Below are 26,964 nucleotides of genomic sequence, written 5' to 3' on the forward strand. Positions count from 1 at the left end.
TCAGCTCGTTCTATCCCTTAAAATGGGAAGATAAAGGCATTACCCCCCCCACCCTCCCGAGGCCTCATATGATATTCCCCATTCTGAGCCCAGAACACCCAGAACTTTGGAAATTGGCTATTGCCACGTCTGGACTGTGAGTATGGGAAGGGGAAACTATTCTGTCTGTTGTCCCCACTACCCTTCCCCTCTCTCAGTGTCAACGTAGATCCACACATTCTGCTTTACTTATCTCCAACCTGACTGTTCCCATACAGAGTTGTGTTAAGTCTCCTTACATGCTGTTAGTGGAAAATATCAAAATTTGGATGAACAATCAAACTGTCCAATGTATTAATTGTCATTTATACACTTGTATTAACTCCCATTTTCACTCCAGGAAAAGTGTAATGTTGGTTCGAGCTCGAGAAGGAATCTGGATTCTGGTAACTTTGCCCAGACCTTGGGAATCCTCCCCCTCGATACACTGAATTAATGAAGTGTTACAGCAAATTCTAAAAAGATCTAAGAGATTTGTTTTCACTTTAATCGCTGTGATCATGGGCCTAATTACAGTCACTGCAATGGCCACCACTGCCAGAATGGCGTTACATCAATCTATTCAAACAGCTCATTTTGTTAATGATTGGCAAGCCAATTCCACCTAAATGAGGAATTCTCAACAAGGCTTTGGTCAAAAATTGGCTAATCAAATTAATGATTTCAGTCTGTTATTTGGCTTGGAGATTGGGTAGTGAGTCTTCAGCATCGCATGCAAATGCAGTGCGATTGGAATACCTCTAATTTCTAAATCACCCTGTATTCCTATAATGAGACTGATCATTCATGGGAAATGGTCAAAGGACACCTTCTGGATAGGGAAGATAATTTATCATTGGACATAACTAAATTAAAGAAACAAATTTTTGAAGTCTCTCAAGCTCATTTATCCATTGTGCCTGGAGCTGAGGCATTAGATCAGGTGGCAGAAAATCTTTCTGGACTAAACCCCATAACTTGGATTAAGTCTACTGGGGGCTCCACTGTAGTAAATTTTGGAATTATGTTTCTCTGTTTAATCGGCTTGTCTTTAGTGTGCCAGACCAGTCAAAGAATCCTGCGTCAAAATCGAGAGAATGAACAAGCCTTCAACACCATGGCACATTTACATATAAAGAAAGGGAGAGATGTTGTGGGAAATCAGGGACCCCGAACGGAGGGACCTGCTGAAGCCATGACAGAAGAACATAAATTGGGAAGATTTCATGGACATTTATCACTTCCCCAATCACTACTCTTATAATTTCCTATGCCTGTCTTTAATCTCTTAATCCCGTCATCTTTGTAAGCTGAGGATGTATGTCGCCTAAGGACCCTGTGATGATTGCATTAACTGCACACATTGGTTATAAAGCATCTGTGTTTGAACAATATGAAATCTGGGCACCTTGAAAAAAGAACAGGATAACAGTGATGTTCAGGGAACAAGAGAGATAAACATTAGGTCTGACTGCCTGGGAGCCAGGCAGAACAGAGCCATATTTCTCTTATTACCGAAAATGGGTAAGAGAAATATCGCTGAATTCTTTCCCTGGTAAGGAATATTAATAAGTAACAGCCCTGGGAAAAGAATGCATTCCCAGGGGGGGCCTCTAAAATGGCTGCTCTTGGTGTGTCTGTCTTATGCAGTTGCAGATAAGGGATGAAACATGCCCTGGCCTCCTGCAGCGCCCGCAGGCTTGCTAGGATTGGGAAATTCTAGCTTGGTAAATTCTAGTCAGACCAGTACTCTGCTCTTGAACCCTGTTAAGATGTTTATCAATGACAATGTGTGCACAGCAGGACATGGAACTTCATTAGTAATTCTAGTTTCTCCCTGACCTTGTGATCTCACCTTGACCTTCTGCCTTGTGATCTTTTATTGCCCTATGAAGCATGTGATCTCTGTGACCCACACCCTTTTTGTACACTCCCTTCCCTTTGAAAATTGCTAATAAAAACTTGCTGGTTTTATGGCTCAGGGGGCATCATGGAACCTGCCGACATGTGATGTCTCCCCCAGACACCCAGCTTTAAAAGTTCTCTCTTTTGTACTCTCTCCCTTTATTTCTCAGACCAGCCGACACTTAGGGAAAATAGAAAAGAACCTATGTTGAAATATTGGGGGCTGGTTCCCCCAATACACCATGACAACAGAGTCCTCAGTCTGGAGACTCACTGTCCCAGCACTTCCTCAGTCACTTGGATTCCTGATCAAAGACAAAGTGATCCACTTATTACTTTTTAAATTAATTCAAATCAACCTTCCCATAACCAGGCTGTGATGCATTACAGTTGGAATTCACACTTACCCTCTTGCTTGTGCCTGGCCTGGGAGATGGACAGAGGTGGTATTGGCAGTCTCATTTTGCAAATGAGCAGAGGGGTGAGTGGAGTCAGGAGACAGAGCTGGAGGGTGTCCTGCCAGGGGTGTTTAGGTTGGCAAGAGGGAGAGGTGGCGACACACAGTCCCTTTGCTGTTACCTGGCCATAGGTTTAATGTGACTTTGAAGGCCACTATTAGGTTCTGCAAAGGATGATTCAGTGCAGACCTCAGCTGCAAGGAGAGAGGATGGAGGGTACTGGGAGAAACCCAGCCAGGCCAGTGGGAGACCAGGTGCTGGCCTGGCTTTGCATGAAACAGCTGTGTAAACCTAGACATGCCAAATCGACCAGCTTCCTTTCCCTTTGGTGAGCAGCAGGTGCTGGTGGGCCTTGGGCAGGGAGTGAGACTGAGACAATGGGGGGCTGCACTGCCTCCAGCCCTGTGCATCATCTACAGCACCCTGGGGAAAAATGGAGCCTACCAGTGGGTGGTGCTGAGCTGGAAGCTGCCCGTGTCCTGCCTGGGGCCTGAGTCCTCCATGGGCCTTTTCCAGTGATGCCCACTCTGAGTTCACTGGCACATCCCCTGAGGGCAGCTTTGGGCACTTTAGAATTTAATCGTCAACCTTTCCGCCCACACTACCAACACCACTACATTTAGAAACTAAAATCTCTGATGGTTTGGGGAGGGATGAAGATGAAGCAAATTCATAAATCATAAGTTACTGGAGCTCATGGAAAGTTGGAGATGATCTCATTCACCTGTGGTGGTATGTGAGAAAGCACTTTAATTGCCAAGTCAAAGGTTTTTACTCCACAGGCCTGAGGAAGGCCCAGAGATCTGTGGGTTTGCACAGCCCTCCAGGTGGCTGATGAGCGGGCAGATCAGAGTCTGTTGCTGTGACCAAGTGGCATCCTGTTCCAGCTGTGTTGAGGATTCCCCAAGTCACGCTGCTATCGTGTGGCAGAGGAAGCCACAGGCCTGACTCCTTGGCATCTGCTAAAATTCCCTTTCCCAGTGGGGGATGCACGGAATCACAGGGGAGGCCTGGTACAAAGGCACCATTCTGTCCCTTGCTCAACCTACTGAATCAGAATCTCTGGGCCTGAGGCCAGGAATGTGTCTGCACTGATCATATTGAAGGTACTCATTTTGGAGGGAAAGAACCAGAAAAGCAGGTTTGATATAGCCTGAGGAGTCCCATGTTATAGCCGGCTGAGCTATAAAACCAGCACTGAAAATGCAGAATGATCCCTGTTTTAAGTGTCATCGCCTAGGACAAAACGGTCTGTCTCTTGAGAAGTCCTGCACAGACAATTCTTAGTCCTGCAAGAACTAAGAAAAAGGCAGCTGTGTCTTCAGACAAGCACCAGATGAACTTGTTGCTTACATTTCACACTTTATACTTAAACAATAAAACTATACTCCGCTTTCCAGGGAGATGCTCAAATGACAGTATGCTCACAGTAATGGTGACTAACTTGGGAAATAGAAAATGTACACATTCTACCTCTGGATCACTCCAGGACATCTGCTTATTGAGTAGGGTGATACCCACTTGGGATGCCATCATTTTCCTAGGGAGGTTGTGGAGGTGGAGGCTACACAGACACATTTGAGTTTTGTATACAGCACACATTTATGACTCGAAGCCGTGGGCATTCAGTTACAATTGGAAAGCAAGCAGAAGTGGGTGGTTGCTCACTGGTTGTGAGGTGAGTGTGTCTTATCTGTGGATGAGACAGAGGAGCCACTCAAGTGGAAGGACCCTCAGCCTGGAATCTGGAGTTGGGCTCCACCAATTCAGCGCATCCCCCAGACGCAAAGACCAGTTCTCACATGACTCCCTCCTCATTCCGATCATCAGTAACCACCTTTGTAATTTAGGCTATCATGGCCGCTCACCTAGGCCGGAATTCTCCAATGGAACTTCCCTTGATGATGGACCTGTTCTAGATCAGCACGCTCCAACACAGTAGCCACCAGCCACGTGTGGCTACTGATAACTAGAAATGTGGGCTTGTGCAACCAAGGACTACACTTCTCATTTTACTTTATAATTAAAATTAAAGTTTAAATAGTCCCGTGTGACTAGTATTATATTGGACAGAACACACCTATGTAGGCTGCATCGTCTCTTCCTGCCTGTGGTCAAATCACCCTCACGTTCATCCACACACACCTTCCAGACGAATCTCCCATGGGACTCAGGCTCACCTCTGTGCTCCCAATAGAGATCTCTGCCACAGCTCTCACAGGATCTGTGTGCACATCCGTAAGTATACAGCTACAGCAGAGGGGATCTGTGTCCACATGTGAGTATACAGCTACAGCAGAGTGGATCTGTGTATTCAGGTGTGAGTATACAGCTATAGCAGAGTGGATCCTTGTCCACATGTGAGTACACAGCTACAGCAGAGTGGATCCTTGTCCATGTGTAAGTACACAGCTACAGCAGAGTGGATCCTTGTCCACGTGTGAGTACACAGCTACAGCAGAGTGGATCTGTGTATTCAGGTGTGAGTATACAGCTACAGCAGAGGGGATCTGTATCCACATGTGAATATACAGCTACAGCAGAGTGGATCTGTGTCCACATGTGAGTATATAGCTATAGCAGAGTGGATCTGTGTATCCAGGTGTGAATATACAGCTACAGCAGAGTAGATCCTTGTCCACATGTGAGTATACAGCTACAGCAGAGTGGATCTCTGTATTCAGGTGTGAGTATACAGCTACAGCAGGGTGGATCCTTGTCCACGTGTGAGTACACAGCTACGGCAGAGTGGATCTGCACCCACGTGTGAGTACACAGCTACAGCAGAGTGGATCTGCACCCACGTGTGAGTACACAGCTACGGCAGAGTGGATCTGCGTCCACGTGTGAGTACACAGCCACGGCAGAGTGGATCTGCGCCCACGTGTGAGTACACAGCTACGGCAGAGTGGATCTGTGTCCACGTGTGAGTATACAGCTATGGCAGAGTGGATCCGCTTGCCCACGTGTGAGTACACAGCCACGGCAGAGTGGATCTGCGTCCACGTGTGAGTATACAGCTACGGCAGAGTGGATCCATTTGCCCACATGTGAATATACAGCTATGGCAGAGTGGATCCGTTTGCCCACGTGTGAGTATACAGCTACAGCAGAGTGGATCTGTGTACCCAGGTGTGAGTATACAGTTACGGCATAATGGATCCGTGTGCCCAGGTGTGAGTATACAGAGCAGAGTGGATCTGTGTGCCTACGTATGAATATACAGTGATGACCAATGAGAAAATGTGGTTCTATTATAAATTTACCAGCTGTCATTTCTGGAGTTTCATCTGGAAGTGGTGTAAGGGCTGGACGTGAAGGTGGGGTGACCACAGGAAGTGAGAGGAGTTAGTTGGTTGGCCATCTTAATGGCTTACGTTGTCAAGTTCTTGAAACTCTCATACTCAGCCTTACTTTTGTTTTGTCCTGGTAGCATCCAACACAGCCCTTGTGGACTTCCCTGCCTAAACTTCCTGTCTATTGGCTAGTCCAAGAAGAGCTCATCTCCTTTAAAGAACCAGCACTGATCTTCTATGTAGATACCCCAAGATAAAAGAAAATAATAGGAGAAAAATGGTAGCAAGAGCATTCTGTAGAAAAACATTGCTGTGAGTAGATTAAAATTGCAACCAAACATAATGTCACGAACTTAAAAGAACAAAACAAGAAACAAGAAAGCAATCACATCACCGAAGGTCAAAGCGGAGCTGTAAAAGCTCAGGCACTAGATAAAGAAAGCTGGCAGAGCTCTGAAGAGAAACGTCAGAGAAAAGTGAAGCCAGCCTAGCAGGGAAGTGTGCAAGGAAACAGCATAGAGAACAGACCCTACTGAAACACCATCACGGATATGGAGGAGGACAGGACTAAGACAGCAACTCAGATTCAAACACCAAGAGAGCTGCAGGGCCTCTCCGCAAATGCTAGGAGAGGTTGACAAAAGGGAGCAAACACACAATTTCCATCTTTTTGCAAAGATGTAGCAACATGGACGGAAATGGAGACACCATTTGAAGTGAAATATGCCAAGCACAGAAAGACAAGCTTTGCATGTTCTCACTCCTCTGTGGGAGCTAAAAAAGTGGATCTCATGAAGATAGAGAGTAGATTGGTGGCTACCAGAGGCTGGGAAATGGGATGGGGCAGGGAAGTGGAAACATTTATAAGGACTGTACACTTAAAATGTAAACATGGTAAATTATGTATGTATATTTTACCTCAATAAAAAACAAATTAAAAAGAAAAAACAAAAAGAAAAATGTATTTAGATGCAATTCACAAAACATTCCCAGAAATCAAATGAGACTTTGATGTAGTTACAGATCAAAAGTGCCTACCATGTCTTAAAAAACAAAAAAATGACACCAATTGCCACCAACCCCAGTGTCTTTCTCCTTGTTCCCAGAGGACCCCAAGTTCCCCGAGGGACACCACTCATTCTGAAGTGCCCTTTGCTAGCTGTGCTGAGGCCAGCAGCCATGGACATCCTGTCACGTGGCCCTTGCTTGATCTTTGCAGGCCTCCCAAGCTGCCCATCTTGTGGATGATGACTGGGGATGGCAGATGAAGCCCAATTTTGTCAAAGGCGGATTTTTCATTTTTGTTTCCTGCCCTTCTTAATGTTGTATAACTTCCAAAATGAAAAGGGGTAACGCTGCCTTTACCATTCTATAATCGGAAGATGTTGAATATTTTACCTTTTTACACTTAAGAAGCTAAGGCTTTTATCATTAAACAAAATCCCTTTTTATAATTTTACTCATCACTCAAATGCTGTGAAAACCGATGAAGAACGTGCTGGAGGCAGTGAGATGCATTCTCGCGTTGTGCCACAGGGGTGCTCTTGGGAGGCCATTGGCTGGCCCTGCGTGGCTGCACCTACAAGCTTCTTTGGTGTTACGATCAACAACTGCAGTTGGCCCGGTGGGTCCCCACCTGCCCTGGGCTCTCCTTGTATGTTGAAGCAGAGGGTGGGCTTCCAGAAACTGAGAATTCAGATTCTGAAAACAAATGACGGGAGAGTCCACACAGCACAGGGGCCCTCCTGCTGGTAGACCAGGCTAGCTTGTGACAACATGCACATGCCCTCCAGCTGACCAGGGTGTGACAGGGAAGAGGCATGAGATGGCAAGTCTGGCCCAAGTGTCAGGTCAGTAGCTCAGCCAGGATCATCCCAGGCGAGGGCTGGAGAAACAACAATAATGGGCATCTATTCTTACTCTGTCAGTTGTTTGCTGGCTTAGAAAACCTAGGTTCTAGACATTTTAATTGTCTTACTGCAGTGGAAAAAATGCCAGTTGGGCTCAAGGGTGAATGTGAGTTTCTTGAGGTCTTTCTGAAGCCTGTGTGGGTATCTGACGGTTTCTGAAACCTTCTGAGGTCTGTTATTTTTATGGGGGAGGAGAGGCCAGCTGAGAATGTCTTGCCACCAACTTGGAGCACTAAGCAGCCAAGAGCCTGGTGTCTCACGAGGGCTGTGCAAGCTTGTGTGTGACATGTCCCAAACAGCTATGGATTCCTTGTGATAGTGTCTAGCTAGTGGTAAGAAGTGTGTTTTTAGTATTCTAAGTCATTTCAAAATGTTTTTAGTGGATGACAGGCCAGGGTTTTTTTTTTGTTTTGTTTTGATAGGAGTCTTGCTTTGTCACCCAGGCTGGAGTGCAATGGCACAATCGCGGCTCACTGCAACCTCCACCTCCCAAGTTCAAGTGATTCTCCTGCCTCAGCCTCCTGAGTAGCTGGGATTACAGGTGCGCACCACCATGCCTGGCTAACTTTTATATTTAGTAGAGACGGGGTTTCACCACATTGGTCAGGCTGGCTTCGAACTCCTGACCTCATGATTGGCCAGTGTTTTAAAATTAGAAACAGATATCACCAGCAATAGAAAATGAAGAACACTGTATTAATGTTTATTTCTAATTACAAGAAACAGAACATCAGTCCCTTATTTGTACAAAAATACCTGAAAGTTTACAATTAGGTTCACGAGCCAAAGAGCTATGTACAGAATGAAGCAAAGCACATGGAATAAAGGTTTTGTCTCTTCATTAATACCTTCTGCATTCCCTGAAAACGTTTATACACGCCAGGCCAATTTACAGTCACTGCAGTTTGCACTGTGACATCACAAATCTACCGCCAGCTTGCCCGCCCCCAGAAAGGCGCAGAGATCGGTCATACTGTCAGGTATTAAGTGCAGAAAAGAGAAGACAAAACATCTAGGCTGAGGCACATGTTTCTTCAAGGTTTAGCAAACAAAAGAACATTCTGGAACTCTAACACCTAGTGTAACAGAGCTTACCTATTAAACTCTAATAACCAAAGCATTTGGCGTTTTCCTTCTCAACTTCGTCCTGGTTGCTACATGGAGTTTCATTTAGAAAAGAAAATCACAGGCAGAGATACAAAGTCAACAGGCTCCAAAACAACCCTGAGCTGTCCCCTTTACATTCATGTCAATTAAATACAAAAATAAAAGTCAAATGTCCTTCCGTCCCCGGTTTGCGGGACTTGTTCTCAGGTGGAATTCCCAGCCGCCCAGCGCGAGGCCAGCGAGCTGGGGCCTTAGGAAGTCTGCCGCCACGTGGAGGCGGTTTACATTCTCCAACAATTCACTTCGGCAGGGAAAATACAAAAGACTACGTCAAACCAGCTACATACAAAACTGTGAATCAGAGTCAAGCTTTTGTTCTCCTTTTAAATAAACGCATATTTATAAATATGAAATACTGCAAATACAAGCTGTCTATTGGAGAGAGGCGTGTGAGAGAGAGATTATACACTGATGGGACTGGTCTACGTACACAGAAAAAAGAAATCCTAGAGTTGTTTTTCCTTGAAAAGGGTTTACCTCGAGCCAGTGAAGAGGAAGGAATCGTGGTGTAACTGCAATGTCCGTCCCTACAGTGAAGCCTGCCACCAGGTGTGAACGTGAGAATTATCTTACTGTCAATAGTTTGAAAGACTGACTGGCTGCGAAAGGAAGAAAATGCAATTGAGCACTGATGGTTAAAAACATGTTTTGCTAGAAAATTCTTCATTTGTATACCTTTCATGGAAAACAACTAGAGTGTGGTCTGTAGACTGACATACAGTGTTACTATACGGTAGACTGACTTCCAGCTGACTGGCCTTACTGAAGCTTGTGACACTGCTCTAGGCTACGGGGGTTGACTGAGGAGCAGAGAAATGCTGTTCCTTAGGGAACACTTCAGTGGGGCGGATTTGGGGCAATATCATGGCCAGCACACATTAATAGAAGCCAGGCAGGTGTTGTCTTGAAAAAGGAAATCATTCTGCTCACCACAGTAGTTTGTCGCCTGTCAAAGGAGTCCTTTCTGCTTTACAGGGATCAAAGGTAAGGAAATGGCCACTCTCACACCTGATCACTAAGCTAAGGGGACGTGGCAAAGGGGGCCACCCGAGGGGCGGAGGGGACCAAGTGACAACTCAAGCCACCATCTGACTCATCTCCCGGAGCGGGGACAAAGTGTTGTGTTGACAAAACTCTTCCATGTCCACAACCACTGTGAGGTACTTCTGACCCTAAGCCAGCAGAGGAGGAGCCTCTAGCTGCTCTGTGTTCACTGGCTTATGGGGGTTTTCAGCAGGACGGAGGGCTGCAAGCAAAGATCTTTAAATATCAGCCTGTGCCTGTGGCCCCTGCAGCGTTTCCTTGTCTTTATCACTATGGAAACCCATGAGACACAGCACGAAGACAACCAGGTGCCATTTTCTCTTTAGATCCTTTAATCCCCCGAGGGACATCAGCCGTGAAACGACTCACACCACTGCAGCAGCAGGGGTAAGGCAGTGATCGTTCTAGAACAGGCTGAAGGCTGTGGAAACGCAAGGCTGAAGTACCCAGGTGGATTATGCAGCATCCACCGCTGGCCGATGACGGGTGCCAGGTGTGTCTCAAGGAGGCTGGCCCACGTCAATCTAGAGGCGAGGCCATTCAGCCTGCTGTTTGTGGAACAGTGAATTTTCCAAAGGAATAAAGTCTCCTGCACTGTGCAGAACAAGACACACTAATAACAAGAGGATCTGACATCTGAGCATAGAGAAATGATTAACAGACTGTGGTTGCTTGACTGAGTCCACAAAATATGCCAAATGCCTACCACAGTGACACCTTTTATTTTAACAAGAAAGCTTTTCAAGTATACTGGGAAGGGCTGGGTTTGTCATTTGGGAGCTGAATCCACACCGTGGTAGTCGGCAGAGGGTGTGGAGGACCCTCTGGGAACATTTGGGGACCCATATTCAGTTTGAAATCTGCCCATTCAAAACTCTTTCTGTATTATATGAGTTGAAACGCCACATCCCCCTCCTACAATAGGCTGAATACAATATTGAAAACAAAGAAGGAGTGCAAAAAAGTGATCAATACAAAAAAAGTAAACATATCAGTTTTAATTGTCAAGATTATTCCAGGGCAAGAGTTCATTTCCAATCACTTCTCTCCGGTTCTTGTTCCTAAGCGGCCCAAGCCAAGATGATCATTCCAGTTTATTTTCAACTTTCCGCTGGATCTTCCATGCCCTCCCCAATTTGGCCGATGCAGAGGGAGGCGACCCTGCTGGGTTCACAGCAGCAAATCGTCGTTTAAGTCCAACAAACTAGTCAATCTTGGTCGGCTGGCACCGAACAAACCCATCTCGCTCTGGGTCCCCAGGTGCAGAATCGATGTGTGTTCTTCACCAACGCACAGACCGCTTCTTCACTCCAGTGTTCACTTCCTCCAGTCTTCAGCCGAGAGGACATCTGCGGTCATAAGGCCACTCGGATGCAGTGGTGCTTGAGTTTGCAAGGCAGGACTCCTTTGTTCAGCTGGTAAAAGTCAACCAGCTGGATCAGGTCAGAGAATTTGGTGTTCCCGTCATCTAGGCTGAAGAACGTCTGCCCGTCGTCCTCGCACTGGAGAGACACAAGAACACTTGCCAGGTTAGAGGCTGCCACCTCAGGGAACAGAACGGGGCCCACGGCCAGCAGCAGCTACATCTGCCCATGATTTGATTCCAGAGGGACACACAGGGCAAGGTAGGCTAGAAAACACCAGGGGCGGGAAAGACGGGAGCAGAGGATGTGTGCTGGGGGCTGCCATGTCCCTGAGCGAGGGACAGACTTTGGGTGGGCTGCGGAGGCTGCTGAGGACAGCTAGCTCCCCTGCTCCCTAAGGTGGTCAAGGGGAAGGGCTCGAAGTTGCCCCCAGTTCACCCAGCTCATGAGAATTACATTTACCAGTTAACTTGTAAGTACCCACTGCACACAGCATGCCCCGAGAAGACTGCACAAACCTGGGTCCTCACTATACGACCTCAGCCAACTCCTGAGGCCCCAGGGGTTTACTCTGCTCCATGATGAAGCAACTGTTGGGTGGCTATGAGGGATTAATAAGCTCACGCAGGTAAATTCCGTTCCTAGGTCCCTGAATATGGGGCAGTTATTTTTATTAAAGCAGGGGAATGCCACAGTATCTCCCAGAGAGAATCATATTCCTAACACCTATTTTAACTCAGTGAGTTTTCAGTTGGATGACTGTAGTACAGTGCAAAACACTGCTGAAAGGAGGTCGTGTTGTTCACAGGGAATAGGTCAGCCTTAAGGCTTGGCTAATTAATGAGCTTGGAACCACTTCGTAACTCTAAAACCATTGCTAGAGCTAACAGCACATCCCACAGCCAGTTTTCACACACAGAGGCTGCACACCTAATGCCCTAAGTCCCAAGTTGCTGTTCTTTTGTTACTTGTAGGATTTGGGCATTACACACTCTGCCTACCACGAAAGCCCCCTTTCTTTCTTTTTTTTTTTTAATTTACTCATCCAGCCTAAAATGTCAATCACTTTTCATTTTATATTTTGAGCTAAAAGAATTATAACTGTGTGAATAATATAATGCAGTAGAAGAACAAAAAGGATTGTCTATGCAGCACTTTCCCTAGGACAGTAATTCCTGTATTTGCATATAAGGTTGGCTGGAAGCTGGGAAGGCTGGGCTCAACCCCAGATTCTGTTCCTCACCCCAGTGCGGTGCAGGAAAAGCCACTGACAGCCATGAGCCTCATTTTCCTCACGAGTAAGGTGGGGATGTCAGCACACAGCAGGAAGCAAGCAGCCACAGAAAAGACAGTGCGTGGCACACTGCCTTCCCCTGGCTCACAAAAGCTAAGCAAGACACCCTCCTCATCCTGTATGGTCCATGGCTGCCAGTCACTACACGATTCTTGAGATCATAACAAAGTCCTGGGGGTCAGATAAGCCTGAAGAACTCCAGGTTCAACTGTGTAAAACAGGTGAGTTTAGTTAATTTAAGCCTTCTCAGAGCTTTTTCTTTGCTGACATGCAGATTGAATCTCTGAGAGGAAACTGTCCAGCCAGCCTCTTTTGGTAGAGTTTGGGTTCCACAGGATGCATTTCACAAACATTATCATTACCTGCAGAATTTATCAATTCAGCATGTAAACAGCTGCTATTAATTTTGTGTATTGTATTCTCAACTAAACTGAATTCTTGTAGGCGCTGATCTAGCACTCTAATCATGAACTAGAATTGAACTGTGGCATACTGAAGTGAGAGGTAAACATCAGGCGAATCAAACATAAAGTGCTTTGTCAAAAAAAGTAGTGTTGATTAATGTATTCTGTAATGAAGTTTTTGGAATTGTTCAAAGGGAGAATGGTCTTTAGATCCAAGGACCATGTGGAAGGAGAAACAAAATTACTCTTTGGGAGGCCACTTAACGCTTCTTGGATAGCCCTGGTGTACACCAGGACAAATTACAAGACTCCTCAGACTCCAGCAGCCAACAGGCAATCCTGCTGCACAACTCCTGCCTTCCAGACCCACGTGCTCACAGCTGCTGCGACCTCAGCTAATTCTCCTCCACCTCCCCTTCCTGTGACCTTGATCCTTCCCATCAGTACCCTTTCAGCTGTGGGCCCTCAGCTAATTCTCCTCCACCTCCCCTTCCTGCGACCTTGATCCTCCCCATCAGTACCCTTTCTGCTGCAACCAAGAGCTCACAGGCTCAAGGGGGGCCTCAACACCCTATCACCACTTTCAGGATTATTTCCAGGGAAATGTTTTTCTAATTTCAAAAGACAAACCTGTAAAGAAATTCTTGAAAGTTTCTTAACTGCAGCCTTGAAACTGTCTGATACTTACCGGTCTTGTCGGTTTATAACTTGAAAATTGCATTAAGAATGAAACCAGAAAACAAACCACAAGGACTGGTCTGAGAACATCAATACTTACAGGTAAGATCTGGAAATTTTTAATTTTCTGGTGATGACACAGTGTGAGTACAAATGCCTTTGGATTACTCTGGCTGTCACGGAGGAGAAAAAGCCTGGGGAAGGGAAAATAGTTGATTGCTAAAATATTTTAAAATCTGGAACTAATCACACACACACACTCTCTTACACACACACACACACACACACACACACACACACAGGCTTGGAGCCACAATGCTTCAGTGCAGTGCTTTGGCATTTAAGTGGCCTCTAGGGGCAACAGCACACCAGGCAAGCACCAAGACGGTAATTCTGAATTGTCATTCTCCATTGGAAAAAAGCTGGGCTCCTTGGGGATATGCCTGACTACAGGGTTAGGGCAGGGAAACTATAGGATGAAAAGGATTATTTTGTGCCTGCATATCAAGAAGTGCTCAAAGAATAATGAGGACATGTCAAAAAGACACAGGAGGCAGGATGACTAAATCTGGGCATCAAAATGAATTTTAAAAGTAATGAATCATAACCCATGAAATCGGAATCCGTGTCTGTAGTATTATTTAAAAATAAATAAGCAAATAAATTAATACGGGAGAAGATGAAAATCTTTCTTGGAGGAGAATGTCAGCCAATAAATAAAGGCAAGATGTATTCAAAAACTACCCTTTGGCAATTACTGTAGTAACTAACAATTAACGAAGGAGGGGGGATCTTCAACAAATGCTGAAACCAGCAGATGAAAGGTGGATGAGAAAAAAGAGTATTTTCATGGCATCAAAGTATTGTACTGTTAATACTTATTTACTACAAAGGGGAAAATAATAGCTTTACAGTGGAGAAATCCGGCCGACAGCATCTTCTTCATCAAGTGTCTAAATTACCACCACTAGCAATGAGACAAATTGACCTTGAGGGCTTCCGGAGACGATGTACTGAAGATGACACAACATCACTTTTCGGGGGTGCTCCCGCCAAAAATGCATAGCCTGAATCTCACCATGAGTGAGGAGCCTAGGCTGAGCCCAGGCACACTCTACAAGAATTGGCTTCTACTCGAAACGCAGGTCAAGATTATGAATACATGCTGGGAGAGAAGATTTAGGATGAAGATGTTCTTTTGCTATAAAGGAGGCAATTAGGAAGAAGGGTATAGATTAGACAATGAACTGCGTCGTCAATGTTAACTTCCTGGTTTTTATAAGGTACTGTGGTTATAGAAGTTCTTGTTCTTAGAAATTTTACACTGTAATAATTCAGACTAAAGGGACATCATGCCACAACTTACTCCTAAACGGTTCAGAAGAAAAAACAGTAACTAAGAACAAAGGCAAATGTGCCATAATCTTAATAAGGGTATCTGGGCGAAGTGTGTATAGTTCATCCTATTACTATTACAACCTTTCTACAACCTTAAAATTTTTTTTTAATCCTAAATTAGAATAGCACAAAAAAGGCATAAAATCATTGCTCTTACATGAGAAAATCTGGAGTTAGCTGAAAAGATAGTTATACATCAGAAAGCGAAGAAAGATCCAATGAAAGCTACAAAGAAGAAATGGCCTGAAAAGGAACTCACTTTAAATGTATCCAAAACCAAACTACAATCATCAGCAAAATCACCAGGTCTAGATTGTAATGTGAAGATGGAAAGCAGTTAAATAAGACTGGAAAATCCCATGCTGAAAAGGTAAAAGAAATATATTTTACTACAGGACTTCTCAGAGCCTTAAATATGTGAATATTCATGGTAACTGCCTAGCAGTTTTCCAATCTTACCTATGTAGAAACCTCCCCCACCCTTTCTAAAATAGCACTTTGCAGGCCTTGTGTGCTTCAGGATATACTTTGGGAAACACCGATCAGAATGGGATTCCATGGTTTGGCTTGGTCAGGCCAGATGGGACGGCGTGAGGAAGCTCAGACCCCACTGGGGAACACGCGGCACCGCCAGAGAGAAGACAAGGAGATCCAGTTCTTCTCCCAAGCGCTGGTGCATGCTGGGCAGCTGTGCCCACCTCAAAGACTTGTCAGAGTCATGTCATTCCAAATAAAACATCGTTACTCTGACACCCAGAAGTTTGCCGAGCTTCAGCTCTAACTAGAGGAAAATGTGGGGCGTCCCTTTCTCTGCCGTTAACTATCTGCTGTCTCCTTCTGCAGATGGGAAGCTACAGACGAGTGAATGGCAGCATGGCCCAGGCCTGTTTACCCGAGAGGGACGTGTACCCCTGAGAGGGGCAGGCTCACCCTGGGAAGTCCCAAGGCTGCTGGAAGGCTTGAGCTTTATAGGGAATGCCTGAAGGTTGTCTATCTGAGATGACTGCTATGCGGGGAGAATGGCATGGCTTAGGCATCAGCAGGAATCCTGGATAGGTCACTTATTAGCTTCATCATCTTGGGCAACTTCTCTTCTCAGCCTCAATTTCTTCATCTGCAGAAGGGGAACAACACCTCTTTTTTTTTGAGATGGAGTTTTGCTCTTGTCACCCAGGCTGGAGTGCAATGGTGCAATCTCAGATCACTGCAACCTCCGCCTCCTAGGTTCAAGCGATTCTCCCCTCTAAGCCTCCCAAGTAGCTGGGACTACAGGTGCCCGCCACCACACCCAGCTAATTCTTACATTTTTAGTAGAGATGGGGTTTCATGGTATTAGCCAGGCTGGTCTCAAATTCCTGACCTCAGGTGACCCGCCCACCTCGGCCTCCCAAAGTGCTGGGATTACAGGCATGAGCTACTGCACCCAGCCAGAATAACTCTTCTCTTACAGGACCATTGAGAAGACCATGGCTGATGTATATACAGCTTTGTGCATGATCACACGCAATACAAGGTAGCTTGAAATAACAATCACTGCAATCAGCCAACTGCCACAATCCAGTGATTTCTAAGGGGATTGCAGTTATAGGAAAGATGCCCAGGGAGAAGCTAAGCATGTTAAGTGACTACTAACCAGGCTCAGAAGTTGTAAACACGGCCCAGGATGGACAGTGGCAAGAACCAGGTAAGTTCTTAAGAATCGATGCTAGGGATGGTGCACTCACCAGTCCATCATAAATGAACGAAGAGCCCCTTGTGACAGGACCCGACAGTGATCAGAGTACAATCTAGACCACGTTTACAAGCAAGACACCGTGCAAAGTGTTTCATGCATGTATTAACTCATTCATCTTCATGGTGATACTGTTATCTTCATTTCACAATGATAAGGGAAGTGACACACAGAGAAGCTAAGCAACTTCCCCAAGGTCACACAGCCAGTCATGGAGGAGTTCCTGGTTCAGCAGGAAAAGCAGACGAAAAGTGAAAGTATCCCTCTTACAAGGGTGCTATGTGAGTCCTGGGGATAACACCTCTCTTTCTGCGGTTGGGAGAAGGGAAAGCTTCAAAGAATTCAAATTTTGCCGAAGAGGTTTCCTTCCAACATGTGGAGGGGCATGAAGTGCAGACAGAGGGACTGCACAGGCAGATGACACAGGGATCGATGCCTGGCACAGCAGGAAGGCCAGTGGGGCTGGACCATGAGTGTGGGCATGGCAGGGGGGGCATCCACATGCCCTGGGGGGATAAGCATGGTGTTGGGGGTGGGGTGGGATTGTTTGGCAGAGAGGACTACAGACCTAGATTTCCCCTTAAAAAGATCCTTCTCCTGCAGTTCTGGGACGGGCATGGGTGGCAAGACAGGAAGGAAGCAGGCGGCAAATTCAGTGCAGGGCTGGTAAAGCACGAGTATGTGCGCGCACACGCTCAGCTGCATGGGTGGGGACGGGGATGGGAGGGGAGCTGCCTGGATCCTGGGATTTCAGGAATACTTGACGGGCTTATTTAAGGCTCTGATGTCTCTTTCTAACTGCATACACCGTTTGAGAATAAAGCTATGGAAAATGCTGTTGTTATACTGTCTGTCCAGAATCTTGTGCTGTTTTTCGAGGTGGTTTTCTTTTCTTTGTTGTTTAACTCTTTAAACTGGCTTGCCTTCATCATCTCTGCAGGGATCAGTAAAGATTAGAAATGGATTATTTACCTTGTTATACAAATACACCTCCTCCCTACACCCAAGAATTGAGAGGAAGATGAGCTGTTCCTGTGTTAACGCCTGAATCAATCCCATTATCTGCATTTCTGTGTGTGGTTAGCGCTCCAGCAGCCTAAGGCGGGAGCTGGAAATGACAGCCTTGGAGACGAGGAAGGCTCCAGGGAGGACGGAGAGGAACACCTGCTGAAGAATAAGACGGGCGGCACCAGCCGGGCTGATTTGGGGAACGGAAGGTAACAGAGGTGATGCTTCTATCGCTTTACAGGTCTGGAAAGACGGATGCCTCACCAACTGGGTTTCTGATCCGAGAAAAATTGAAAGACAAACATGGCTGGGGGAAGCAAAACGCTGACACACAATTCAGGTGGCCCAGCAGTGCTGACCTGCAATCCACCCCACCCCAAGGCAGCCCTTTCAATCCAAAGTGGACAGAGTGGGCCTTATCCCAGAATCACTCAGGAAGCTTCTTCAAACATATGACTGCCACACCCGCCCCCAAGGTTCAGAAACATCTTCGCCTCGGGATGATGGGCGTCCTCACTGCCCTGGCCTTGGGGAGGACACTTAGTGGCCACAGCACCAAATAAAGCCTCCTGTGGAAGTGCCAATTCTCCAGCAGAGTGACGCTACCCCGAAGTGAGCCTGCGCTGCCTCCCACACACGGCAAGGGTAACAGAGGTCCCCCTAGAACATTCTGGGCCCACTGTTGATACGGTTCAGGGGTATAAGCAGGTATACACTGTATTAGAAGCCCCAGAACACACAGATACCCCTAACTCAAAAACGTCACAGAAAGAGAAATTTCTGTGTTAGGCTTTTCTCTCCTCAGGCATGCCAGAAACTTTAGAGGAGAAACATACTGTTTTACAGTTAGAGGAGGAGTTGCTTCTAATGCTTTGAGAGACTGCTCTGTGATAAAGCTGACATCTTGAGTAAGGAGTTTTGGAGCAATTGTAAAGCCACATGGGAAACAAAATAAAATCAGACCCATACTCTACCCAGCAGTGAGGATAAATAAACCCAAGTGCATCTGGGATCGAAACAAAACCAAACAAAGACCAAAAATGAACCAACTAAGGACAAAAGAAAGAAAGGGAGAATGCAGAGAGCAGGAAGGAAGGAAAGAGGAGCAGAGGGAAGGAAGGAGAGAGGGGGGAAAAGAATCCAAGTACAAGACAACATGAATGCACCCCTTTATGATTTAGGAGTGGGAAAAACAAAAGTGTCTGCAACTTAACTGATTAGAAAAATGGACAAAAAATGTAAACAGGGTAGAACTGCCAAAAGACAAAGAAGTCCTTCCATACATGAAACGAGGGTCAGCCTCCTTCATGAGAGATGCGGCTGACAGCATGACTCTCAGATGAAGAAGTAAGCCTGCTGAGGGACTCTGGTGATACTTCACAATATTACATAGGCCCTGCCCTTCCACCCCACAGCCCCACTTCTCAGGACTCATGGCAAAGATACATGGCAAAATTATGAAACAATGCAGCACTGTGTCTCATAACATTTGCCTGGAAACATGGTGAACATCCCTCAGTAGGGGACATTTTAAAAAATGATGTTCCATGTACATAAAAGAAAACCCAAGAGTGGAAAAGAAATGTGGGCCATCGCGATGCGCTGCTGTGGAGCGATCCTTGGGATGCAGAGACTGCGGGAACTGCGCAGCGCAGTACTTGCAGCACGCTACATTTGCTTAACGAGAGGCAGAAAACAAAATCTTTTCACTCGTATTTGTACAATGAAATGACAGAAGGATAAACAAACACTAATAAAAGCTGTTTATCTGGTGTAGGGGTTGGGAGGCAGAGTTGAGAGGACAGGGCATGTGCCTTATTTCATAGATCTGACTTTGGAACCATGAAAATGTTTTATGCAATTTACAAAGCAGCATTCAACCAAAAAGAAAATAAATCAGATCCACTTGCAAACACTAAAGAGAAACTGAAACAAACAAACCTGATTTACCCAGCAGTTTGGTGACAGAACCATAGAGAAGAATTACTTTAAGTGACTTTGGGCAAGGTATTTTAAGGTAACCTGCCTGGATTAATCCTTAAGGATTAAAAGGACTGTAAAGAAATCGCAATTCAGGTGTCTTACTGAATAAATATCAGCATTAATATTTTCAAGATATTACAGGTATGTATTTTGTATTATGTAATATAAAGTAATAAGTAATTAAGTTAATGCCATTAACAGAGATCATCAGAGGAAAAAAAAAACAACAAAATCAAAGAAGTAAAAAATCCTGTAATCTCAAATTTGAATTAGCAATATCAACGTGAACCCAACATTTATTTTTTGTTTTAAAAAAGCCCATGTCCTAGCTCTGTTTACTAAAAAGATCTAAAGATTGTAGTCTCCAAATACCATTTTGCATTAGAATGAATCAGGGTCCCTGTGAGAAATGCATCATTTGAGTCTAATACATCTTGTCACCCCAAAATCAAATACCATTAATGCTAGCTCAAAAGAACTCAGGAAGCAACTTGAAGGAACCATTGGCCAATGAGGGGCAAAGTGAGCGTCGAGAAGAGGTTTTGACTGAAATAAATCAAACACAAAAATCTAAGTTCACAGTGACAGTTTAAACAAAATCCAAACTAACAACAAAAACACCCCTTGTTTGCCTCTAGTGGAAGGTGGGAGAACACAAACTCGTTCTAAAAATTGACAAGTAAAGGGGAAAACCAGGCATTTACCTACTTTTTCCAGGAAATATCTAATGCAAGAAAGAACTTCAGCTCATATAGGAAGGAATTAGAAAATGATGATTTTGGAACACCTAATGAAATACTGAACCTGGGCAAGTTCACCAAGGGCTGCTAAAACCATGTGGTGGACGGGGACGGTAGCCTTGGTGGGGAGGTTCCAGCTGGCTGCACTTGAACCCCTGCTCACCCGACACCACTAAACAGCAACCAGGCTTCAGGCCTCCTCCACTCCAGGCAGCAGAGCACCCAGTACCTGCCCTGCAGACACCAGGCAGAAGAAATGCATCTGATCACACCATGACCACCACTCCCCAGGAATCAGGGAGACAGAGGAACTTATTAAAATAAACCACAAACATGCTATTAGCAAATGACCCACTTCTTTAACAAACAAAAGATGTTTAAAAAAATAGAAGAAAAACAGAGTGATGAGAAAGACTATTTTATATCCAAGGAGACAGAAGTATATGGTATAGCATCTAAATGCCATTTGTGGGTCCTACCTTAAATAACCTCAACTTAATTTAAAGGAGTTTTTTTGGTGACAACTGGGGAAATCTGAACATGGATTAGCTTTTAGATGATAGTAAGAAATTCTTATTTATTTAGTTAAGTGTAATAACATTGCAGTTATATCAAAACAAAAGGGTCCTTATTTTTTTAGAGACAGGCATTGAGATGTATTTGCTGGCAAAAATTTAGGATATCTGAAATTTCCTTTAAAATAGAAGAGGAGGAAGAGGAGGAGAAAAGGGAAAAGAGAGATGAAGAGGAGGAGGAGGAGAATGTAGGAAAGGGAAGAGGTGAAGTAAGCAGGTTGAAGCTGCGTGATGGGTAAGTGGGGTTTCATTATACACTTATGTAAATGTGAAAATTTCCGTAATAAAACTTTTTGTAAAACGAAGGACACAAGAATCATTCTTTGAGTTTAGCAGCTTCCAGGAACCTGTATTTTGAGTATTCAGACCCCGTATGGGACAGCTCCCACATGGATGTAACTACTTCCTCAGGGAGGATGATCAGCCTGTGTCTCTTTCTGGAAGACTGCTGGCTCCGCAGTGTCGGCCTTCTGTGGTAACTGCATCCCATGTCCCTGTCCCTATATCCACACTGTGGCTGGCTCCTTCCCAGGGTCATTCAAGTGTGGTCTTGGGATTTGCTTTGGTCAACGGGATGGTGGCAAATGTGATGGTACGAGAATCTTGAGAAGTCTCGTGCATGTGTAGTGGGGTTTAACCTCTCTTGCTATGCCTGGGAGCCTCAAGTAATCTGCTGCAGACACATGCCCAGTCACTAATTGCCACGGCAACAGCTCACAGCAACAACCAAACACGAGTGAACCTATCCTGGACTGTCCAGCCCCAGCCAAGCTGGCCCAGGTGAGAAAGGCCACTCAACCAACAATGATACGTAATTTATTTTTGTTGTTTTAAGCCACTAAGGTTTGGGGCTATTTGTTCTCAGCAAAACCAACCTCATGTAGTACACAATCAAAAAGCGTAGGCAAAAGCATTTTTTTTCCATCTGCCCACTACCTTATGAAGATAAAACAACTTGTGTTGTCCATCTCTTCAGATTTCATACAGAGGTGAAGGATAATTACAGATACACTCTGGGCAGACATGGATTAGATCCCTTTCTGCCCCTTACTAGCTGGGCAAGCCCTGCGTACCACTTATACCTCTAGCCTACCTTTTCTCCTCTTTAAAATGAGGACAAAACTGCTGCCTGTCCAGCAAGGATGTCTGAGGAATTAAACAGAACAGATCCCCAGCACAATAAAACCTTAGCAGATGACAGCTCTTATCAGTGGTGGTTCCTTACCCATCCACGAGCCCTTGCTGTTTAATGATCCTGTGGGATTCCTCCCTGGAGATCCTCCCGTGAAACCAGTGCTGTGTCCTGTGAATCACTGTGGGGGGAAGACAGGAGGAGGGTAGGATGGTGGTGCCTCTGCAGAATGGCTTCCCTGACAGCACAACCAACTCTGATCAACTCAGAGCCCCTGACTCCCCCAGCTACAGCTTGTGTGGTGCACTCTGGCCACAGGCAAATTCGTAAGGCTGAGGGGGAGTGGAGGGGGGTGCTGTTTGATTTTCTTTATGTACAAAAACATCAGGCAATGTGCCCTGTTTACCTGTACTTAGGGTAGAAGGGTGGAGGGGACTTTGGCTACCTAGGATGTTCATCCGTGTGCTTCGCTTCTGCAAAAGAAATCCCACATTAGCACCGAGGACAGCAGACAGACACACCAAGTCACCCAATATGTCCAAGCTCATGGCAGGCCACTGGGTGGGGTGCCTGACTGGGCTCACAAGGGACCTTGCCCCATCTGAAGACCCCACTGACCCCTGAGAACAAAGAGCTCAGGGTTCCCAGTTGTTAAGAACACCCTGAAATATCTCTAGTAGCCCCAGTATCGAAGTAGACATGCTTATTTCTCACACTGAAGACATACGATGAAAACGCCATGAACATCCTGGTAAATCGCAGGAGAAACACACAAGCCTTTCTATTAAACTCACGCAGTTCTCAAAACACTGGGCACTGGACTCCCCGTGCTTGGGACTTCCTTCTTTTTCCCATCCCCTGAGGCTGAAGTACAGAAAATGCCAGAGTCCAGGCTCCTGCTTTGCACATGGCCTTTAAGTCTCAGGACTTAGAAGCCGAGTGATAGTCTTCCCACCTGGAGATTAAGAACCTAAGCCTCAGGGGTGAGGGAGTGGCCCAAGGCCTCCAGGCTGTTAGTAGCAGACCTTGATGTGAGCACCTGCTGGCCCCACTCAGGCCTGGGCTCTGTGCACTCCACAGACAGCCACTGCCAGTTCATCAGCAGAACAGTTCTGCATAGGAGCCACGGAGGGCAGAGAACTCTGTTCCTCTCCTGTCCCTTCCATGAAAGCCCAGGGGACAGGGGACAGCGGGGAAAGGCTGGGTGCTGGGAACATGGAAGGGGCCTAGAAGGGCCAACTGCTTCCTGCAGCTGAGAACTCACCCCACCCAACATGGCACCCCTCTTGCCAACCCGCATAGAGCTGTTCCTCTGGGAGAAGACCACGTGGTGGGGCTACCACCTTGAGGGTGCCCCTCCAGGCTGGCCAGGGCCGGGGCCTTACCCTCCAGGCGTGGCCCTCCTCCAGGGCTGCGCTCTGGGCCTCTGCCGGATTCTCTATCACGCGTCCTGTTTGCCCAGAAAAATCCATTGCCACGAGGGAGTTCTCGGAGACACTGCGCTGAAAAGGAAAGGCCGCAGTTCTTAAAATGCAGGGAAATAAGGCAGAGTGGAGTCTTGGCATGAAACTATCATCAAGACGGTCAGGAAAGGGGAGCAGGGAATGCCTGCTTTCTACCTCTGAACTCCCCAAGTTTCAGGTGGGAAATTCACCGGTTCAGGCTGAAAATTCAGTGGCCCCTTCAGTTTTTCTTAAGAACGAAACACATTCTAGTCCTCCCTGAGTATTAAAAAGGCTGCTGGTGAGGCCCCCGGCACCCGCAGCATTTGGACCATGTGGTCCTTCACAGGCTCCTGACCTGCACTCCAACACATCAAAGAAATCAACAGCCAGGGTGAGCCTAGGCCTCCCCAGTGAGTCATTCCCTCGGGGACGTGGGTTCAGGAAAACTCGTGGACCCTTTCTGTGGCACCATTTGGCATCTCAAAGGGGCAGATGCTGAAGGACCCTCAGGACTGTATTTTGAGAAGATGAAGTGCTTCTGCTCCTTTGAGAACAGAGTGCCCAGAACACAAGAGGAACGATGACAATCTCTAAATTCTCACCAGGGAATGAATGCAGCGTTAATAGTCAACAGTTCCCATGGGTCCCAAGGTTTAAGGAACAAAAGCGAAAGGCAGGAAAGGCAGTACCCCACAAGGCCAGAAGTTGTTGCTGCCATTTTTGAGCACTTAAAGAGAGCCACCTACTTACACAACCCTGAGGGGAGATGCAGGGACGGGAGAAGAACGGCAGAGGAATTCACTCCCTGTCGTTGCACTGTTGAGACTACAAAACCCACGTCATCGTGGGACATACTGGCTTCCCTGAAATGCACACACACTCTCCAGAGCTTCTCTTGCCCACCCTGTGTGAAATGAGGCGTCCTTAACACATGTGATGCAGAAGCTGAAAAGGCACTAGACTTCTGAAGCTCCTGGCTTTACTTACCACTGGCGTCGAGAACGGGGACAGCAAGGCCTTCCTCTGCTGAGGGATTCGGTAATTCTGGTAAAGGAGCATTCCATACTGGAGAGGAGAAGCCACAGTTAGTCACCGGCCCGGGAGCCCCGAGGCCCGGCATGTGACAAACGCCACAGCAGGAAAGGGCAATGTTGAGTGCGGAACAGGGAGTGATGCCCTGTACCAGCCTCCAGGAGCCTGAGTGCCGCTGACCCTGATCAACACAGGGATTAGGAGCAATGACGCCCCTTGAAATAAAAAATCCGAGTATAGCTTTTGACTCCCCCAAAACTTACCTACTAGTGGCCTACTGTTGACCAGAAGCCTTAATGATAACATAAACAGTTAATTAACATATATTTCGTATATGTATTCTACACCATATTTTTATAAGGAAGCTAGAGAAAAAAATGTTATTAAGAAAATCATAAGAGACAATACAATTATGGGACTGTACTGCATTCGATTCTGTAAGTCTACATGTTGACACAATGAATTATCTGTGTGGTGTGGAGGGCAACCATTCAATCTCTAGTATGTATCAAGCAATTTAAGTTTTTCTTGTCATGTCGTGACTTTTCTCTGTTCTTGGGCGCACTTCCAGCTTCACTAGTGGCATTTCACATGGGTCCCATGGTGTTCTTTAAAGTTCCTGTATTGCACTACACACAACGAAAAATACTCCAGAAACATGAGCCCATTTTTTTACTACAACATGCAATTTATTGGAGAGAGGACCTGCTCATGGGGAGATAATTAGCAACACAAGGTGGGTTTCTAAATGGATATGTCCAACATCTGAGTTCACTGTACTAGCAACAGGAGGTGGCTACAAAATTATGAGAGTAATACAGCAGGGACTATAGTTAATTTTATGCAGTTCTGAGGTAATCCGCATCTTTGTTTGTTTACATCTCTTGACTACAAATGGTGCCATATACAGTCTGTGTTTGCATGCATTCAGTTTTGATAAATTTTAACTTTATATAATAGATTAATATATATAAAAAAATCTCTAAGTGGACCTGCACAGTTCAAATCATTCAACTTCACATTCAATATGGTGCATGCCTCAGTGCTGCTGCTACTGTGGCCCCTCAGGAGGGAAGAGCTGACTGGTTTTGGAATAAGCGGGACAGTGACAAACATAATAACATCAAGAGCAAGTAATCTTATTGAGTGCCACTATGGGCTCAATATGTCTAAGACACTATGTGTCTAAGTGCTTTATGTTATTTCATTTAATCCTCTCCATTTTATGAGCTGTACACTATAATTATCCCCATGTTACAGAGCACAGAACTGAAGCACAGAGGAATGAGGCAAGCTGCCCGCAGTCACGACTTTGAACGTACACGACCTGTTCCAGACCCAGTGCCCTCCCTAGCTGAGGCTTGCCACCTAACTGGCTCAGTAGTCTGCACTTTCTGATCCTGGCAATGAGGACTCAGGGCCCTGCAAAGTCTCATACACATCCAGCATCCCAACCTACACACCCAAATCACACATTCCAACCATGTGGAGAAGAAGAAAGAGTCAGAAACAGGAAGTGAAGTCATCAAGTGGGACAGCTCTTCTTTCATGGGATCTAAGCTCAGTTCTGGCTCTAGGTCTCATGGCACATACTCATTTCTAAGATAAAAATACCTAGAACATGATGCAAAGGTCTAATACAGGAACGACTGCACTCCAGCAAGAGAAGAGCAAGAACAGGTCAGGGGAAATATTTGATGAGATAATGCCAAAAACTTTCCAAAGTTGACAAAAAGACGTCAAGCTACAGATTCAGGGTGTAGGATAAGTAAGCCCGCTCCGAGCATATATCATGGAAAAATTGCTGAGAAACAGACACAAAGAAAATGTCAAAAACAACCAGAGGAAAACGTGCATTATTTTCACAGAAGCAATGGGAAGACAGACAACTAATGTTTTTACATAAATTATAAGATTCAGAAGACAATGCAGTGGGAAGATGCAGAAGAGAATAACCGCTAACCTTGCATCCTATAACCAGTGAAACGTTCCTTCAAGAATGAAAGTGAAACAAAAAGTGAGAAAATTTCTCAGGCCCACATGAAAAGAACCGCTAAGCTGAGGTCTTCTAGTCCCAGAGAGAAGAATGCAAATTTAGGAAATATTAAAGTGCAAAGATGTAGGTGATTAAAGAGTATATAAAACAATAACATTATGTCTTAAGAGGTTTTATATATATGACAAGAATCCTTCAAAAGGGACAATGGAGCAAATGGAGTGAAAGGTCCTCATGCCTGCCTGAAAGCAGTCAGTAAATGTACTACATTATAAAAGATTTTAATAAGTTCAAGGGGCATGTTAGGCCGGGCGCGGTGGTTCACGCCTGTAATCCCAGTACTTTGGGAGGCCAAGGCAGGCAGATTGCTTGAGTCCAGGAGTTT

The 26,964-nt window shown here is 45.7% G+C and overlaps 1 protein-coding gene across 42 annotated transcripts in view, besides 1 other annotated feature; it reads right to left on the reverse strand.

The window, feature by feature from the left end:
* The window catches only part of GRB10 (growth factor receptor bound protein 10), a 203,386-nt gene continuing 184,691 nt past the window's right edge, over positions 8,270 to 26,964 (reverse strand). For 41 of the 42 annotated variants that reach the window (XM_017012061.3, XM_047420243.1, XM_047420233.1 and 38 more), the window contains 6 exons: positions 24,539 to 24,616; positions 23,492 to 23,608; positions 22,513 to 22,579; positions 22,200 to 22,287; positions 13,639 to 13,732; positions 8,270 to 11,300 (listed from right to left, as the gene is read on the reverse strand). In XM_017012061.3, the coding sequence (XP_016867550.1) occupies positions 11,154 to 11,300; positions 13,639 to 13,732; positions 22,200 to 22,287; positions 22,513 to 22,579; positions 23,492 to 23,608; positions 24,539 to 24,616 (591 nt within the window). In that variant the 3' untranslated portion in view covers positions 8,270 to 11,153. The remainder of the gene's footprint in view (positions 11,301 to 13,638; positions 13,733 to 22,199; positions 22,288 to 22,512; positions 22,580 to 23,491; positions 23,609 to 24,538; positions 24,617 to 26,964) is intronic. The other variant, NM_001350816.3, reaches the window with a different exon arrangement.
* Positions 19,543 to 19,712: an enhancer, noted in NCBI's record as "experimental_99443 CRE fragment used in MPRA reporter constructs". NCBI's record gives its function as "activates a minimal promoter by MPRAs in K562 erythroleukemia cells, with activity observed for both the introgressed and non-introgressed 7:50669123 variant alleles {active_cell/tissue: K562}" and the evidence as "EXISTENCE:reporter gene assay evidence [ECO:0000049][PMID:34662402]".

The sequence above is a fragment of the Homo sapiens genome, chromosome 7 (genome assembly GCF_000001405.40).
Source record: "Homo sapiens chromosome 7, GRCh38.p14 Primary Assembly".
Taxonomy (NCBI): domain Eukaryota; kingdom Metazoa; phylum Chordata; class Mammalia; order Primates; family Hominidae; genus Homo; species Homo sapiens.